At 48.7% G+C, this 18315-nt stretch overlaps 1 protein-coding gene across 2 annotated transcripts in view, besides 4 other annotated features; it reads right to left on the bottom strand.

The window, feature by feature from the left end:
- CHCHD6 (coiled-coil-helix-coiled-coil-helix domain containing 6) overlaps positions 1-18315 on the bottom strand; it is a 256181-nt gene that overhangs the window by 96496 nt on the left and 141370 nt on the right. Inside the window, exon 5 of one of the 2 annotated variants that reach the window (NM_001320610.2) lies at positions 11195-11281. In NM_001320610.2, coding sequence (NP_001307539.1) covers positions 11195-11281 — 87 coding nt within the window. The remainder of the gene's footprint in view (positions 1-11194; positions 11282-18315) is intronic. The other variant, NM_032343.3, reaches the window with a different exon arrangement.
- Positions 11065-11359: a silencer, noted in NCBI's record as "tiled region #387; HepG2 Repressive non-DNase unmatched - State 7:EnhWF, and K562 Repressive non-DNase unmatched - State 23:Low". NCBI's record gives its function as "represses a minimal TATA promoter and a strong SV40 promoter by Sharpr-MPRA in HepG2 and K562 cells {active_cell/tissue: HepG2 | K562}" and the evidence as "EXISTENCE:reporter gene assay evidence [ECO:0000049][PMID:27701403]".
- Positions 11065-11843: a biological region, named in NCBI's record as "Sharpr-MPRA regulatory region 387".
- Positions 11280-11843: an enhancer, noted in NCBI's record as "H3K27ac-H3K4me1 hESC enhancer chr3:126570925-126571488 (GRCh37/hg19 assembly coordinates)". NCBI's record gives its function as "activates a minimal SCP1, AML or CMV promoter by ChIP-STARR-seq in primed H9 embryonic stem cells {active_cell/tissue: H9 hESC(primed)}" and the evidence as "EXISTENCE:reporter gene assay evidence [ECO:0000049][PMID:30033119]".
- Positions 11844-12405: an enhancer, noted in NCBI's record as "NANOG-H3K27ac-H3K4me1 hESC enhancer chr3:126570363-126570924 (GRCh37/hg19 assembly coordinates)". NCBI's record gives its function as "activates a minimal SCP1, AML or CMV promoter by ChIP-STARR-seq in primed H9 embryonic stem cells {active_cell/tissue: H9 hESC(primed)}" and the evidence as "EXISTENCE:reporter gene assay evidence [ECO:0000049][PMID:30033119]".

Here is an 18315-nt window from a genome sequence, read left to right as displayed (position 1 = left end):
TCGATGGTGGAGGAGGAGGAGGTGTTGATGGTGGAGGAGGAGGTGGTGATGGTGGAGGAGGAGGAGGTGTTGATGGTGGAGGAGGAGGTGGTGATGGTAGAGGAGGAGGTGGTGATGATGGTAGAGGAGGAGAAGGTGCTGATGGTGGTGGAGGAGGAGGTGATGGTGGTGGAAGAGGAGGTGGTGATGGAGGAGGAGGACGTGGTGATGGTAGAGGAGGAGGAGGTGGTGATGGTGGAGGAGGAGGAGGTGGTGATGGTGGAGGAGGGGGAGGTGGTGATGGTGGAAGAGGGTGAGGTGGTGATGGTGGAGGAGGGGGAAGTGGTGATGGTGGAGGAAGAGGAGGAGGTGGTGATGGTGGAGGAGGAGGTGGTGATGGTGGAGGAGGAGGAGGTGGTGATGGTGGAGGAGGAGGTGGTGATAGTAGAGGAGGAGGAGGTGGTGATGGTGGTGGAGGAGGTGGTGACAGTGGGGGAGGAGGAGGTGATGGTGGAGGAGGAGGAGGTGATGATGGTAGAGGAGGAGGAGGAGGTGGTGATGGTAGAGGAGGAGGAGGAGGTGGTGATGGTAGAGGAGGAGGAGGTGATGGAGGAGGAGGAGGAGGTGGTGATGGAGGAGGAGGAGGAGGAGGTGGTGATGATGGTGGAGGAGGCGGTTGTGATGGTGGAGGAGGAGGTGGTGATGGTGGAGGAGGGGGAGGTGGTGATGGTGGTAGAGGGGAAGGTGGTGATGGTGGAGGAGGGGGAGGTGGTGATGGTGGAGGAGGAGGTGGTGATGGTGGAGGAGGAGGAGGAGGTGATGATGGTGGAGGAGGAGGAGGAGGTGGTGATGGTGGAGGAGGAGGAGGAGGTGATGATGGTGGAGGAGGAGGAGGAGGTGGTGATGGTGGAGGAGGAGGAGGTAGTGATGGTGGAGGAGGAGGTGGTGATGGTGGAGGAGGAGGTGGTGATGGTGGAGGAGGGGGAGTTGGTGATGGTGGTAGAGGGGAAGGTGGTGATGGTGGAGGAGGAGGAGGTGGTGATGGTGGAGGAGGAGGAGGTAGTGATGGTGGAGGAGGAGGTGGTGATGGTGGAGGAGGAGGTGGTGATGGTGGAGGAGGGGGAGTTGGTGATGGTGGTAGAGGGGAAGGTGGTGATGGTGGAGGAGGAGGAGGTGGTGATGGTGGAGGAGGAGGTGGTGATGGTGGAGGAGGAGGTGGTGATGGTAGAGGAGGAGGAGGTGGTGATGGTGGAGGAGGGGGAGGTGGTGATGGTGGAGGAGGGGGAGGTGGTGATGGTGGAAGAGGGTGAGGTGGTGATGGTGGAGGAGGGGGAGGTGGTGATGGTGGAGGAAGAGGTGATGGTGGAGGAGGAGGTGGTGATGGTGGAGGAGGAGGAGGTGGTGATGGTGGAAGAGGGTGAGGTGGTGATGGTGGAGGAGGGGGAGGTGGTGATGGTGGAGGAAGAGGAGGAGGTGGTGATGGTGGAGGAGGAGGTGGTGATGGTGGAGGAGGAGGAGGTGGTGATGGTGGAGGAGGAGGTGGTGATGGTAGAGGAGGAGGAGGTGGTGATGGTGGTGGAGGAGGTGGTGATAGTGGGGGAGGAGGAGGTGATGGTGGAGGAGGAGGAGGTGATGATGGTAGAGGAGGAGGAGGAGGTGGTGATGGTAGAGGAGGAGGAGGTGATGGAGGAGGAGGAGGAGGTGGTGATGGAGGAGGAGGAGGAGGTGGTGATGATGGTGGAGGAGGCGGTTGTGATGGTGGAGGAGGAGGTGGTGATGGTGGAGGAGGGGGAGGTGGTGATGGTGGAGGAGGGGGAGGTGGTGATGGTGGTAGAGGGGAAGGTGGTGATGGTGGAGGAGGAGGAGGTGGTGATGGTGGAGGAGGGGGAGTTGGTGATGGTGGAGGAGGGGGAGGTGGTGATGGTGGAGGAGGGGGAGGTGGTGATGGTGGAGGGGGAGGTGGTGATGGTGGAGGAGGGGGAAGTGGTGATGGTGGTGAAGAGGGAGGTGGTGCTGGTAGTGAAGGGGGAGGTGGTGATGGTCATGGAGGGGGAGGTGGTGATGGTGGAGGAGGGGGAGGTGGTGATGGTGGAGGAGGGGGAGGTGGTGATGGTGGAGGAAGGGGAGGTGGTGATGGTGGAGGAGGGGGAGGTGGTGATGGTCGTGGAGGGGGAGGTGGTGATGGTAGTGGAGGGGGAGGTGGTGATGGTAGTGAAGGGGGAGGTGGTGATGGTCGTGGAGGGGGAGGTGGTGATGGTCATGGAGGGGAAGGTGGTGATGGTAGAGGAGGGGGAGGTGGTGATGGTAGTAGAGGAGGAGGTGATGGTGGAGGAGGAGGTGGTAATGGTGGAGGTAGTGATGGAGGATGAGGAGGATGAGGTGGTGGTGCTGGTGGTGGTGCTGGTGGTGGTGGTGTTGGTAGTGGTGGCGGTGGCAGTGGCAGGGGCAGGGGTGGGAATGGAAATCTTTTATGAAGTGCTTACTGAGAGCTCCTCCTGGATAAACACTGTGAGCCATCTCATTTCTTCTCATAATGATCCGAAGTAGAAACTTTATATAGATGAAGAAAGTGAAGTTCAGTAAGGAGTAAATCACTTGGTTGAGGTTATAACGGTTAGTACACACGTTGGGAAGCCACGACTTAAAAGTACCTAACTTCAGAGCCTGTGACCTTAACCACTATCCTCACACTATAGTGGAAAAACTGTAGGTCTGTGGACAGGGATGCAAGGAGGCAGAGTCCTTGCTATTTATTCATTAGGTGTGTGACCTCCAGGAACAATGACAACAACAGCAGTAGCAAGGATATGTTACAGCAGGCTAGCCTGTAGGTTATGTCCTTTATTACATAAACGGAAATGCAACTCTAGTGTCTTCCTTTTAAAGATGAAAGTCCCCAGGGCTCAAGGGCTTAAGTGACTTCATCATCTCTATAAGGCCAGTAAGTGGTAAAGTCTTAATTCAAACTCGGTTCCCTCTCAATCTAAAAACCCAAGGCTTACAATACCAGGAAACTCTCAAACCACTTAACTGCCTTGGGCCATCTGTGAAAAGAACTGGACTGGGTCAATGGTTATCAATTTCTTTGTATATTCCTGTCTCATTGATCACATTTATCAAAGGACCTGGTCCCACCAGGACAAGTGCACAAAAGCTCATCTTGCTAAGAAAGGCAGTCGTCAATCTCTAAGCAATATGCTATTTCACTTCTCACTTTCAATACACGGCTGAGAACACACAAAATGGTAGCTTTCATGGTGGTACCATTACTAAAAAAAAGGTGTTAATGGGCTAACCAGTTGGCGGTACCCTTCTTCAGCCTAACCTTGTGAAAAACTTTTTCTTTTTTTATTATCCTTTAAGTTCTAGGGTATATGTGCACAACATGCAGGTTTGTTACATATGTATACATGTGCCATGTTGGTGTGCTGCACCCATTAACTCATCATTTACGTTAGGTATATCTCCTAATGCTATCCCTCCCCCCTTTCCCCAACCCCACAACAGGCCCCGGTGTGTGATGTTCCCCTTCCTGTGTCCAAGTGTTCTCATTGTCAATTCCCACCTGTGAGTGAGAACATGCGGTGTTTGGAAAACTCTGATTCAAAAACTCTTCAAAAGTCCCTTGGGCTCAGATCCCTCACTCAGCAGGTTAAAGAGTGCTCCCCATGACGGTGGAAGGTGGGCCTCTTCCCCAAGGGAAGCTTTCCTGCTGTATTGTTTTCAGGTCATTGTTAGCAGTTCCCTCTGAATCCCCAGGCTCTAGCAGCTTCTCTCTATAGGCCTCTCACACTCACATCCTCAAGGTAGGGGACCCTGCTCTGAATCTCTGGTGCAGACTCTGGGCCTCTCTCACTCACAGAAGTACTGCTGGCCACATTGGAGTGACCGGCAGGCAGGTGGCGGCTCTTCCAACGAGACACACCCCTCACTGAGCACGTGTCTGGAGACCTCCTCCTTCTCCAGTGCTGGGGAACCTGAACCCTACATGGAACCCAGCATCAGTCTCCATGACAATGCAGGACATGCATCCTCAACACAGCTCACGGGGCCTTCACGCCAGCATGAGCGAGGCCTCACTTCGTCCTCAATGTCTCTGACAGGCAGCATTTGGCACTGCCAACCACATTCTTCCTGGACTCTTCTCCACTCACTGATGCGGGAGGCGGTGGGAGGCAGCACGTGGCAGTGGAAGAGCGGGCTCTGGAGTCTCGCAGACCTGACTTCATCTATCAGCCGTGTGCATGGCTTCTGACAGCTACTTCAGCCTGCTTCCCAGCTTCTGCATTTGTAGAACATGTGTAATATAATCTACCTTACAGGGTTGCTGCAAGGATTCACGATGACTTATGTAAGAGGGCCTGGCACATAGCATATGCTCACAAAATTATAGTGACTGTCATTCTGTAGGACACAGAACTCCCTGTCTGATACTTCTCAATCATCAGCTGGTCATCTCTGCCTCATACGTGCAAGCCTAGAATTAAATTTACAACCTTCTCCAAGTGTAGTGGCTCACCTAAATTTTCTCTTTCTCTTAATGGCACCATTATTCTTTCTCAGGCCAGCCTGTTTTCCCAGCTGTACCACCTGTGGCCTCCCTTCTCACATAGCACCTGGCTGGGGCCAAGCTCTCCAGCCAGAAGCCCCAGTTTCTCCACTACCAGCCCTGCATGCGGCCCACTGACATCCTGCTCTCTCCAAACACAGCTCCCACTGAGAAGCCTTCTGGGCAAAGGCTCCCTCCTCCTCTGGAACCCCGCTGCGTCACTGTTTCCTGATTGCATACACACACGTTCCCTTCTTTATTCCTGCAAACATTTACTGTGCACCTACTCTATGCCAGGCACTGCATCCTCAGCCCTTGGCGATGAATCACCTGATGAATCAGACCAGCAAGGACTGTGCTCACAGATGCAGAGCAGACAGCCACAGGCGCTAACAAGACAGAGTGTGGCAAGTGCTAGAATATGCACAGGGCTCAAACCTCAGCGGGGGACAGACAACGGAGCAGCAGGCGATTCTGCGGTGCCTATGGGGCACTCCAGTGAGGTGTAGCTCCACACCCAGCCCTCATTCTGTGCCCATGACCCTTGTCTCACAGCACCTGACACAGGGTTTTAGCAACTCTATTAGACTGAATGGACATGGAGCAACCTGGTCAGAAGAGGAGGTACTCAGAATTATAGAACTCAGAGGAGGCAAGAGCCCAGCGGGCCGGGTGCAAACAGATGTGGGCTAACAGTGGGCCTGCCGCATTCTGGCTGTGTCTCTCCATAAGGCGAGTAGCCTATCCCTACTGGTCTGTCCTCCAGTCACACGAGGAGGCGAGGCAAACACAGGTGGGCCTGGGAGGGCCTGGAAGAGGATGTTTAAGGCCTGTAAGGTCCCTGGGATTTGGAAAGCAGATCCTGAGCAGAGCGCTGCAGGCCAGCGAGGAGGGTGCCTGGCAGCGAGGGGCAGCAGAGGCCATGGGGCACCCCTGCTGGGCTGCCTTCCTCAGCTGCAGCCCACTTTTTATGAAGCCTCGTGTGCCGACTCTTTCCTGAGAGCACAGCCAGATGAACTCTCAGCAACTGAACACACCTGTAACTAACACCAAGGTCATGAAAGGAAGCCTTACCCACCCCTCCCCCCCGCCCCCGCCCCTGCCACCACATGACCCCTGCTAGTCACTGCTGCCCCCAAAGGGTAACTGTTATCCCAGTTGCTAACACCATAGATGTGCTGTGCTGCCTTCACCCCTTCTGTAGATGGAATCACAGTTTGTAGGTCCTCTTCCCTACCCGGCTGCTTTCCTCAGCAGTGTGTCTGGAGTTCCAACAGCAGCACCTGCAGCTGTGGACGGCTCACTTTCATGCCAGCAATGCTCTATCATGAATACCACCGGCACTTGCCTCTCTCCTCATTTTCAGGGCTATCGTGAATGACACTACCATGGACATTCTACAGCCTCTCTTCTGGTGAACCTGGGGGCACATCTGGTGAACCTGGGGGCACATGCAGAATGCTAGGTCCTGGGGCATACCCATGTTCAGCTTTAAAAGATGCTGGCTATCGATCTTCCACAGTGGCTATGCCAACTTACACTCCACCAATGGTGTCTCAGAGTTTAGGTTAAACCACATCCTTGCCAGCACTTGGAGCTGCCTGTCTTTTCCACTTTGGCCATTCTTCCGAGTGTGCAATGGTATCATGTTGTGGTTGTAATTTGCATTTCCCTGATATGTAGTGAGGCTGAGCTCTTTTCACATTTGCTGACCACTCCTTTTCCTGTGAAGTGGAAATCCTATATTTAATTCCTCCTCCAAACACCTTGTGTAGCTTGTGTTTCCCTACACACCAAGGGACAAGGCAGAGACCAGTGTGCCTGGGATAGGGACGTCTGTTGAGCGGTGTCAGTGAGAAAACAGCAGGGCTCTCGGGATCAGATGATGGTCTTCTCTTAAGAAAGTTCGATCGGCAGCAGGGAGTACAATGGGGGAAAGGGCTGACTGCTCAGAGGCAGTGCAGGGAAGCATCTGAAAGGTACAGGGAGGAAGACTTCAATCCTGGGGAAAGGAGACAAAGTCCAGGAAGAATACATTTCTCCCTTTCTTCCTGACTTGGTTTTTGATGCTAACCCTGAAAAAGACCTTCTCCACTTCATAGCTGCTGAGTTTGGATAAAGTGAGACGAAGCGTTTCACAGAGCTGGGAGGTCCTCTACTCACAGGAAGCCTGCATATGGGCATCCTCCCATCTGGCATCCTAATCCTCGGCATCTCCCTTCCCTCCCAAACCTGACTGTGGGTTTCATGAGGCAGGAGCCACAGCTGTCTGAGCCATCTCTGCACCTGGCATTTAGCAGACTTAAATTGATGTGGAGTAAATGAAGGCCAGGCATTTATTAAAGAGGAGGAAGAGGACAGAAATAACATGAAAGAGGACTGGATACTAAGGTCAGGTACTCTGATGGTTGCTTTACACAAACTACCACTCACCCCAAAACAGCTGGCAGGTTAGTCCTAAATCCCCATTTCAAAGATAAGGAAACTGAGGCTAGAGAACATAATGACATGCTCAGGGTCACAAGGCTGCTTACATGACTGAGGCAGAACTAAACTGAGGTCTGCTGGACCCCAAAGCCTACTCATCCCTACCACCCTACTCAGCTCCATGGTTGACTGAAGACAAGGGCTTGGCCAGCCACAAGTGGTCAACTCCATGGGCTCTCAGGGTCTTCTTCAGAGCCACCCAGCACCAAGGTTTCTACTAGGAGACGATAAAGTGTGGGGGTTCTGAAGAGGCACAAGTCCCCTTAGCCCCATAATACCTGAATCCAGGCATGGTGTGAGTAAATCCCACTCCTACTTCTTTTGCTTCCTGCAGAAAATTACAAACTGGCAACTGAGCAAAGGCTCTGGAGCCAGGTGTGCAGTGGGAGCACAGCTAAGATGGCAAGGGGTTCAGCGGCCATGACTCAAGCCAGCACAAGCAGTCGAGGGTCTCACCTTCCTGGTCCATGTGCCTGTATGGCAGATGCACCTGAATGTGTGTTTGGAGTTCTGAGCTAAGGAATCTGGGAATGGCCAACCCAGAGATCCATTCCTTATCTACAAGGAACATCTGAACCACCGGCCCTTGTGAAGTGAAAATCCATGGAACACAGCTGTACAGGGCATTGAGGCCCTTTGTTTTGGGTTAAATCAAGCTTGTCCAACCCATGGGCCAGGGGCTGCATGCAGCCCAGGAAGGCTTTGAATGTGGCCCAAAACAGTCATAAACTTTCTTAAAACATTATGAGATTTTGTGATTTTTTTTGTTTGTTTGTTTTTGTTTTTTAGCTCATCAGCCATCATTAGTGTTAGTGTATTTTGTGTGGCCCAAGACAATTCTCCCTCCAGTGTGGCCTAAGGAAGCCAAGAGATTGGCCACCCCTGGGTTTAAATGAAGGTTGCCAGGTAGAACCTGTTAGGGAGAGTGCTAAGTGAAAATGCTATGGAAACTACATGCTCTTTGTGAGCAGTGGTTTGCTTGCTCAGCCGGCCATGGGACCTTGCGGTTCTCCTGTCCATCCCACTGCCACTGGACTGTCCCTGTATGTAACTTTTCTGCAAATAAAACCCGATGTCTCATTTGCCGGCTCTGAGGCTCTTGTTTGAGCTCTCAAACATGGTGCCATCCCTACTGAAGTTAATAGGGGTCCCGTGCAAAGATGCCTACAGAAATGGACAAAGGCCTTGTTCTGTGACACTGTCAGATGTGCAGACATACCTGGGGATTGCATGGCCCCAGCCCAGTGGATACTGCAAGACCATCAGAGAAAAGCCCGATGCAGCCCAGAGAGAAGGCTTCCCCATCCCAGAGAGCAGGTGTTGGGGTCAGGCCACCTTTAATGATAAAAATCCATCTCAGCATGCATATATGTGTGCATGCACACATGCTCATCCATTAATCCAAACCTGAAGCACTGTGACATGAAACAGAGCCCCCAGTACTGCTGTGCACCAGGGAAGGAGCCAGCACTTGCCAGGCGCCCAGCACGCACCAACACTTTTACAGGTGTTATTTCCCTTAATCCTCCCATTAACTCCCAGCAGAAAGCATTAGCATCTCCATTTTACAGATGGAGAAACCGAGCTGAAAGGAGGCACAGTGACTGAATTGCTGTGTGGGAGCCAAGGCTCATGGGCTCTGGTGCCCACACTCCATCAGTTACACCATACTCAAAGTTCAGGCTGCTTCTTCAGGTGCCATAAGACCCTCACAAGGCCCCTGTCTGTGTCAACAGCTCACTGCTTTCTATGGGGAAATGGAAACAATATTCCTCACTCAGATCTTGCAGTGTGGCTGTGAGGAACAATTACTCAGAAGGATTATAAAGCACAGGAGCCCTACAAAATGAGATTTCCATGCTCAAGAATAATCATCTAGGAAATAAATACTGCAGACAAAAGGGTCCATAAGTCTCTTCCTCCTTGAAAATGAGTCTGGATTTTGTGCAGGCTTTCCTTACCTGCCAGTCTCAACAGGTAGAAGGTGGAGGCTGACCAGCTTCCACGGTGGACGGCCGCAGGATTCCACCCAGCCCCTTGGATACACCATGGCTTGGCCAACAGCCCCAGGTCTCAGCCTCCCCATCTCAACCTGCTCTCACCCGGGACTGTACTCTGAGCTATTTTGGGTGGTCAAGGATGATGCAGCAGCTTATCCAACTTTCCCCGAAACAGGTTTTTACTGTCAGTTCTAAACTTAAAGGAAATAGGGGGAAAAAGGAAAGGGATGTGATGATTGGGAAGTCCTGGAGCCGTGTGTACAGAAGCTGGAAATGTCAAGGTCTGCGAGTATTCAACAAATGAAAGTGGAATCATATAAAAGCAACAGCTAATAAAAAAAGATTGTCAGATGCTGTGTTTTCCATCTTCCCAGCCATTACAGGAATAAAATTATCCGTGGAGAAGATCAAAAACCTTTTTCAAAACTAATACAATTAAGCCTCATTCTTCTGCCTCCTTTCTGCCTCTCCCCCTGGCTCCCCTTTAATCCTCCTATCTCCCACACCAATCTCCATTTCCTGAGATGTTGGAGGTGCTCTCCTTTTTTTTTTATTATCACCAGCAAAATGCTGTGTTTAAGAGTCAGAAAGGAGATCATGCTTTTGCACCTCCTTCTGGAAGCATTTAATAACTCTTCACAATCATCTAGGAAACCTCGATTTTTAAAAAGCCCACACCTGCATATGCAAGGAGTTTGGACTTCACTTAATGAAGAGCAAGAAGACTCATCCAGAATTTCCTCTCCTTTAGCAAAGCAGAGACTTGGTTTCTAGGAGGAGAACTAGGGTAGAGATGAGAGGGGAGAATGACAAGAGGAAAACAGATTTTAGAGAGGCAAAAATGCTGCGAGGCTCTTTCCTTTCTGCCTGAAACAGAGATATGTACACATGCCTCTAGCAGCCAAGCCCAGGAAGGGAAACATGGGGAGCACAAAGGAGACCAAAGAATTGCACAAATAAAAAGACAAAACCAAAACCCTGTGCCTATGAACATATCGGCAACTGTGATAATTAGAGCTATGGCTGGTGGAATTTTTTTTACCCTTTTCTGGGATCTCAAATCACAATCCTTGTCATTATAAGCTACAGTCAAACCTGTGCATGAGACTGCTCTGTGAAAGATTTACTTGTTAAGGGCCACTCGGAAAGCAGCTCAGAGGTGCACTGCCATTCCTCAGACTATGGAATATCACCATCAGCACGCTGTGTTCATGGCATGTCAACTCTGGCCATCCCCTAAACACCGGCAAAGGTGGACAAGCAGGTGTTGATGGGGCAAGGAAGAACCTCCCTCTTTTCCCCATGGCCTGGAAATCCAGAAACCCATATTTCTGTCAGCCTCCACTGTGGCATGCCACAGGAGAAAACCCCTGTGGAAATCAGGCCCCTCAAGCAAACTGTCAATTTCAAAGCTCCAAACCATGACAAATGATTTGCGAAGATTTGCCTGCAATAAGCTGATGGCTCAGGTTGCTTGGCATGCTGTCTCAGGCATGAGGGGGAACAATTTTTTTTTAACCTCCCAACCATCCCCTCCCACATTTTAAGCCATTTCTTTGAAAAATCTGTCATGATCCACAAATTAAACCAAAAAATAAGCAAGTTACCAAATGAATTTTCAAGAGTCGTGGTAGGGGTTTTTTTTTTTTTTTTTTAAAGGCATGATGATATGTTTTTAAATCTCATTCATTTCAAAGGCTTATCCTTAGAAAAGCAGTGAGTGTGCAGCCGTAGTGCACTTTGATCTTCCCGACTCCCAGGAGAAAATCAATAATAAAACTTTAATGTATTTGTATAGCAAGACATCACGTTATTATTATTTTTACCAAATGCAGCTTAACTAAAGTGGAAAAGGTATACTGGGACTCAGCACCGCCCTGTGGTGAAAGTGAATTTTTTTCTAAAATTGAACTACCGTAGAGCCAGCCACATTCAACAAAAAAAGGTGGGGCAGGGGGAGACAATTAAAAACCAATTATCTCCATGAATGCAACTTGTTGAAAGGCTCTATTTGGGTGCCTGCTGCAGAATGCAGGAGGGCATGTCCAAGGAGTGACTGGCATCTGGGCGAATGGGCACTGGGTCTGCGGACTCCTCTCTCCCCCCATGACAGTGATGTGTTCTGGTCAGATGCCTTTAGGACCTGGCCCCGAGGAATGCAGCCAAGCAGGAGTCTTACCTTCCTCTCAATACGCTCCAGCTGCTCCTTGTAGAAGGTGTCACGGCGTCTTAGCTCTGCCTCTCTGCTCTCCAGCTCCCTGGCCTGCTTGGAAGAGAACAAAGCCCACGTTAGCCAGCAGCGATGGTGCTGGAATGGTGCTGCAGGGAGAAGGCGACGGACATTTCTGCTCACATTCACAATGAGAACAGTAGCAATAATGAGTTGAAAACCTTATGATATGCCAGATCATTCACATATATTGTGCTTAATTTTCACAACAATCCTTCAAGGTGGGTAATTACTATAGCCACTTCACAGATAAATAACATTTATTGATTATGGGAGTCCTGTTCACAGTTCTCCCACAGTTATTTCCTTTGATCCTTACCACACTTCTAAAGGGCAGGTGGGATCATCATGATCCCCTGCTACAGATGAGAAGCCAGATGACAACAGGGGGCCTAAGTAGTTGTCTGAAAGCTCACAGCTATTCAGAGAGTAGCTGGGGTCTGAACCTTGGTCAATGCAGGTGTGTCCGGCCGCTGGGTGTGCTGCCGTGAGCCACACAGCTATGTGCTGGCCTTGGTGTCTTTATGCTTGGAACCACACCATGCCACAGCCTCATGCTCTGAGCTGGAAGGAGCAGGGATCCATGCCTGCAGGAAGACACGCACAGAGTCAGCTGGAGAGGCGCTGCTTCCTCACCCGCCTGATGGGGATGGTTGAGTCCCTGTTGGAGCACAGGGCCAAGGGCCCTCCCTCCAGATCCAGTTAGGCTGAGGGCTCAGCTCACCAGGGCAAGCAACCTGAGGCTGGCAGATGTCAGGTTGAACCCAGCCCACCCTTAATTAGCTAGGCGACCTTGAACAAGTTCCTGACCTCCAGCTTCCTCAGGCATGATGTGTAAAGCTGGAAGGGATGCATAGCTGTACAGAAGGTTAAAGGAAACCCCAACAGAAGTGGGCAAGGTCTCAATAGACCTCCATAAAGGGTCACCAGCACACGGCAAGGCAGGGATGTAAGTCCCGTCACTGGGATACTCATGTCCCCAGAGTCTCCAGGGGCTTCCCAGGCCTAGGCCCCAGGGCCCGCCTCTACCCTCCATGGGTCAAATGTGGAACAACTCCACACTAAGGGTCAGGATGGAGACAGTCACAGGGGCCTGGGAGCTCAGGACTGCCTTTTGTGACTGTATGGAGGAATAACACCAACTGCTTGTTGTCTGTCCCTATGCTAGGGCTGTGTGCGCTCAGGTATTCCGCTAAGCTCCTGATGACACTGAATCCTCACTACCCACAAGAGCACAAGCTAGCCAGCGGTAGACTGTGAACCTAAGTTCATATGACTTCCAAGTCCTGAGCTTTTTCCTTTTAAGCCACTCTATGGTATCAGCACATGGGTTTGAATCACTCAAAAACATGGGGTAAGACATGAACCCAAGTTTTTGAAAGCCCATCTCCCTGGCAATGCTACTCCTACTGACAGGGAACCTTGCAGAACCACCAGCAGGTTGGTCTGTAATAAGAGCTGACCACTCACTAGTGCCCCTGAGTGCAGAGCACCAGGAGAAAGACTCAGCTGAAAGGGCCACACCAGGCCAGTGGGCTTGGGTGGCTGGCTGAACCCCTGAGAGTTAAGTTCTAACATCGGCTCTATCACTGAGTGGCCTCTAGGAAGCCTGAGCAAGATGCTGTCTTGTCTGTTTTCCCCTTACCTGTATAAGGGAGAAGAAGTAGTAACCTGGATCCCCAGGCAGCTGCAGGGGATCTAAAAATGCCAGGAAGGCTTCTGGAATGCCTCTGGAATGCCAACACTTCAGAAAAGCTAAATACAAACAGTGGGACTAAATGCCAGGAATTTCTCACAGGGCTTTTCAAAGTGTGCTGCTGAAGCTGTGTCCCAGGAATGCAAGCACGGCTAATCTGCGCTGGGCCTCTCAGCGGTCCAGCACTTAACTGTTACCAATCCCTGGTGCAGTGAGAGGAGAAGCTCGTCTGATGCAATTAAACAGCCAGTAAAAGAAAGTCTCTGAGGGCTCTGGACCTGTCATTTTTTGACCAGCAGTCCCAGCCAAGCAGGAAGATGACATCTGAAGGCAAAACCATCATAAGGCTCTTCAGCTGCCATTCTCTACAGTTAAGTGAAGCAGCAGAGACAAGGAGGTGCGTTCACACATCCACCACCATCCCACTGACACACTGCGATGCCTCCTCTGGGCCGTGGCTACCAGGATGCTCATCCTGAAGCTTTCAGGGCCTGTGCCAGCAGGACGTCTATGTGATGAATGGGACGCAGGACTAAAGTGTTGGGTGAAGATGCCTAGCCATCAGCACCTCCTTAGGCTAGAGACTGTTCACACAAACAGGAAGAAACGTTGAGGACATCAAGGCCTACTTTTCTATTCATGTCCAATGCAACACAATTGAGCAGTTAAGAATGAAATGAACTGTGTGGAGAGGGATGAGGCTGTGCCTCCCACTTGAATGAAAACTCCGTGATGTGCACCATATCCCCAACACCTTGGCTTCGTCACAAGTGAGCCACCAGGGTGGTGAGCTCACCGTCTCTAATTCATCTGCTACAAAGCCCTGCCCACTGGCTCTGCTCATCTGAGATTTAGAATGCAATCCCAATGACTGACAATGGACAGGAGGTGACACGAAAAATGGCTGTAGAAACTGAGTATGACACAAATGCCTGTGTGTCAGTGCCTGGCCCAGAGCAGACACTCACTGATCTGGCTGTGAAGTATGGAAGAGCACACTGGGCAGCACCCGCCACTCCACACAGTTGCCCCGCAGTCTCAAATTGGCTTCCTAGCACTCATGAGAGGCCACGCAGCACGCAGCACAACTGTGGTTTCAGTGCCTGAGTGCGTCACTTACCAGAACACCATGAAGGACACCTCTATGTGACAGACAGAATTGTAAAAGGGCTGAGGGCACAACAGGGAAGCCAGAGAGAGAATTTCTGCTATCATGAAGCTTAGATCCCAGTGGGAGACACAAATGTGTGTGCAGATAAATAATTACAGAGAGATGTGCTGGGAAGACCATAAGACAGACTCACTTGTAGGGTTAGCGGGTTGCTATTTTCCCTAAGGAGATTTCTAAGAAAGTCTTCAGGGAAAAATTTTGAAATTAAGAATGTTGACTCTAATATAAAGGTAAAATGTCATCATTATGAACATGTACTTAGCAGATGACAGTCTTTGAATAGAGAATTGAGGGAATCTGCATGATTTGGTCAAGGACCTCCTCCAGTCAACACAACACAGTGAGTTCACACTTTGATGCCTCTACCCTACTCCAAACACATAGCACTGGCAGATAAAATATAGAACAGATGACAAAAAGACACGGACAAGTTCAAAAACAAGATTAAAGTGTCCAATACCAAACAGAAATGCAAAGCAGTGGGTGAGGCTGAAGCCACAGGCCTGCTGGCTCCAAGTCTGGAGCAGGCAGAGGCAGTCAGGAACCCTCTTTATCGTGCAGGGTCAGAATAAACCACATTCCGCACAAGCGGGGGCCTGAAGCCAGGCTGGCGACCTGCAGCCTAGGGATCTCCCTAAAATAAGAAGCTGATATAAAAAACTTCTGAAGACCTCCACTGAGGGCCAGGGTTTTCAGTTTACTTAAACCTAGAAAGCCTGGAAGCTACAGATCCCGCCCCTGGACCACAAATGAACCTAGTCACTCAGTTCCTGGCTCTGCAATATCACCAGGACCACTGTGGAGACAGGCCTCAGAAGGCCAAAATCAGACCTCGTCCTGCACTGAGGTGCAGGTGTAGGTGACAATAGAAATAGTGAACTTTCCACTCCAAATGAACCTATAAACTGAATCTCAAATATGGGAAGAAATAGAATTTCTAAAAAGGCTACCAATAAAAGCAGTAACTGAAATATGAATTCACTCCAGATGACATTAATTTTATAGGACAATATGACAAAGGATTTCAAAAAACTTTTTATTATGCAAAAATTTAAACACAAGAAAGAATACAATAAAACCCCAGATAGCCATCAGCAAGCTTCAACAATTAGAAACTAAAGAGATCTTCTTTCATCTCTACCCTCTACCTTCTCCACCCCCAGGTTTCTTACAGATCTCTTCATCTACATAGCTTCAATATGTTGCTCTAAAAAATAAGGACTTTTAATTTCTAAAACACAACCATAGTACTATTGCATACCAAAAATAATTTAACATGAATTCTTTAACATCATCAGATATCCAGCTAGCATTACAATCTCCAATTGATGAATAATTTTAAATATGCATGTTTAAGTTGCTCAGAAAGGTAAAACGAAGTAACTTCTGATTTACAAAAAAGAAATTATGAACCTGAAACAGGCTAACCACCAAATAGGTAAAGATTATACATTTAAAATCTACAAAATAAAAAATGAAATGGATAAGACAAACTCTAAGCTGAGAACAACAAGGGAAAAATTATCAAACTGAAATGAAGTACAGAGATTTGAGCAAGAATGTAGTAATAGAAGACAAAGATAAAAAGTCGGGAGGATTGCTTGAGTCCAGGAGCTGGAGACCAGACTGGGCAACAAAGCAAGACTCCATCTTCACAAAAAATAAAAATAAAAAGTTAGTTGGCTATGGTGGCACATGCCCGCTACTTGAGAGGCTGAGGCAGGAGGATTTTTTGGTCCCTGGAGTTTGAGGCTGCGGTGAGTTATGATCGCATCACTGCACTCCAGCCTGGAGAAGAGAGTAAGACTCTGTCTCAAAAATAACAAACCCAAAGATAAAAAGTCTGATAAAAGCTAAGAACTGTGGAAGACAGACTGATGGTCCAGAATGTGTCTAACAGCTGTTTCAGAAGATGAGGAAGGAAAGACTGGAGAGGACAAGGGGGTAAGAGAGGGGAAGGAGGACGGAAGCCAGAGTAGAAGGCAGGTGAGAGGATGGGAGGTGGGCGAGGGGAAGGAGAAAGACACTGGTAGGGGTGACTTAGGGAAAGTGGGAAAGGGGGAGAGGAGAGAGAGGGAGAGAATGGTAAACAGAAAAGACCAAATAAAATTATAGAAATAAGTGTAAGTAAATTGGTTACCACAAAAAGCACACGAAGGGGGCCTCCAAGATGGCCCCTGATGATCTCCACCTCCTAGGCCTCATGCCCCTGTGGGATCTCCTCTTGAGTGTAGGCTGGAACTTGAGACTCATTATTAATAAATAGAATATGGCAAAGTGATGGGATGTCACTTCCAAGATTTAGTTTTAAAAGACAGTGATTTCTGTCTTGCTCATACTCTTTTCCTTGTTCACACTGATGAGGCAAGCTTCCATTTTATGAGCTGCGTCCACTACCACTGTGAAGACAGGTCTCAGAAGGCCAAAATTACATAGTAAGACACTGAGGGTGGCCACTGAACAACAGCCAGTGAGGACCGGAGGCCCTCAGTCCATCAGTCCTCAAGGAACTGACTCCTGCTCACAGTCACATGAGTGAGCTTGGAAGCAGACCCTCCCCCAGTGGAGCCTTCAAATGAGATAGCAGCCCCGGCAGATACCTTGACTACAAGACCTTAGGGCAGAGGCACCCAGCTAAGCCAGGCCCAGATCCCTGACCCATAGAAACCACAAGATAATAAATGTTTAAGTCACTACATTTTGTAATTTGTTACTTAGTAACTGTTAACTAATATATGAACTGATTAATCTCACCCTTAAAAGAAAAATGATTATCAATTTGGATAAAAGAAAGGAAAAAAACCCTAACGACTTGCTACTTAGAAGAAACCCAAGCCCCCATACTAATGGTCTTACAGAAGAAAAGAAATCCTTTACTGGACATAAATATATAGTGGACTGTCTACTGTTTTATTTTGTTTACACAAAATGTTGAGCATTAAATCAAAACTTTAAAAATACACATACACATACACACACACAAACACGTGTACGTGCGAAAATAATGACCCTCCATATAGAGATAAAATACTGGAACCAGACACATTAATGGCCCAGACTGGAATTAATACAAAGGGACTTTAAATAACTATGATTAATATGTTAAAGAACCTAGTAGAAAAAGGTAAATATCACGTGTGAAGATATAGAGAATTTCCACAGAGTGATAAAACTATCTTGCCTCCATTGTTCATGATGAGAAATCAGTCTTTTATATTATTCAGGATTCCTTGTAGATGATGAGTCACTTCTCTCTTGCTATTTCCAAAATCTTTTCTTTGACTTTGCCTTTTGACAGCTTGATTGTGAAGTACTTAAGTGTGGATCCCTTTGAAATATTGTGCAAAGCCACATACATAGTCTTGGTCTTTTAAAATCCCAGGAATAGTATATGAGCTTTTCAAAGCCTCCTATGGCCACCTCATTCCCTAGCTTTTCTTTTTAAGCTTTCAGGTTACCCTATTGTTTGCCCAAATTGTTATCTACCTCCCCAGGCAGCTATAATATTCAACAATTGCCTCTGCTTGTTTTTGACAAATGTCCTCTGGGAAAAAGCTGTTAGCACTGGGCAACCTCTGAGTCAGGTTGTATAAAGACGGCCTTATAAGTGGGGTCTCTTTCAGGGAATCACCAGACAGGAAAAATAATGACATTTTTCTGGGAATGGGGCTTTGAAGGAGGTCCAACCTTTTTCTGCCCCTTCTGGTGGCTGGCAGGCTGCAAGTCTGCACTGTGCCTGTGGACTACAGGTTTTCAGGGCTACTGTGGTGCTGCAGGGGAAACAGGGATGGGACATGATAAATTAAAATGGCACAAAGCTCACTTTTCTTACTCAGAGTCATTCATTTTTTCTTGAACAAATGCTCCTGGATTGCTGCAAGCCTTTGATCAATTTTCAGAGTTCTGAAAAAATAGATTCTGACTAGTTTTGCCAGTTTTTTCATTGCTTTTATGAAAGAGGATTTTTAGAGACCCTTATTCTACCAGTTTCACTGACACCACCGGAAACTATAAAACAGAACCAAATGGAAATGCTAGAAATCCATTTCTAGCATGATATGGCATGAATTCATGGGTTTATTAGCATATTGGACGGAGCAAAAATCAGTGAACTTGAAAACAAGGCATTATAAATTATCTAAATTAAAACACAAACAGACAAAAGAATGAAAAATGAAATGGAACAGGGCCCCCAAGATTAAC

The sequence above is a fragment of the Homo sapiens genome, chromosome 3 (assembly GCF_000001405.40).
Source record: "Homo sapiens chromosome 3, GRCh38.p14 Primary Assembly".
NCBI lineage: Eukaryota > Metazoa > Chordata > Mammalia > Primates > Hominidae > Homo > Homo sapiens.
This window is presented reverse-complemented; position numbering and strand designations above follow the sequence as displayed.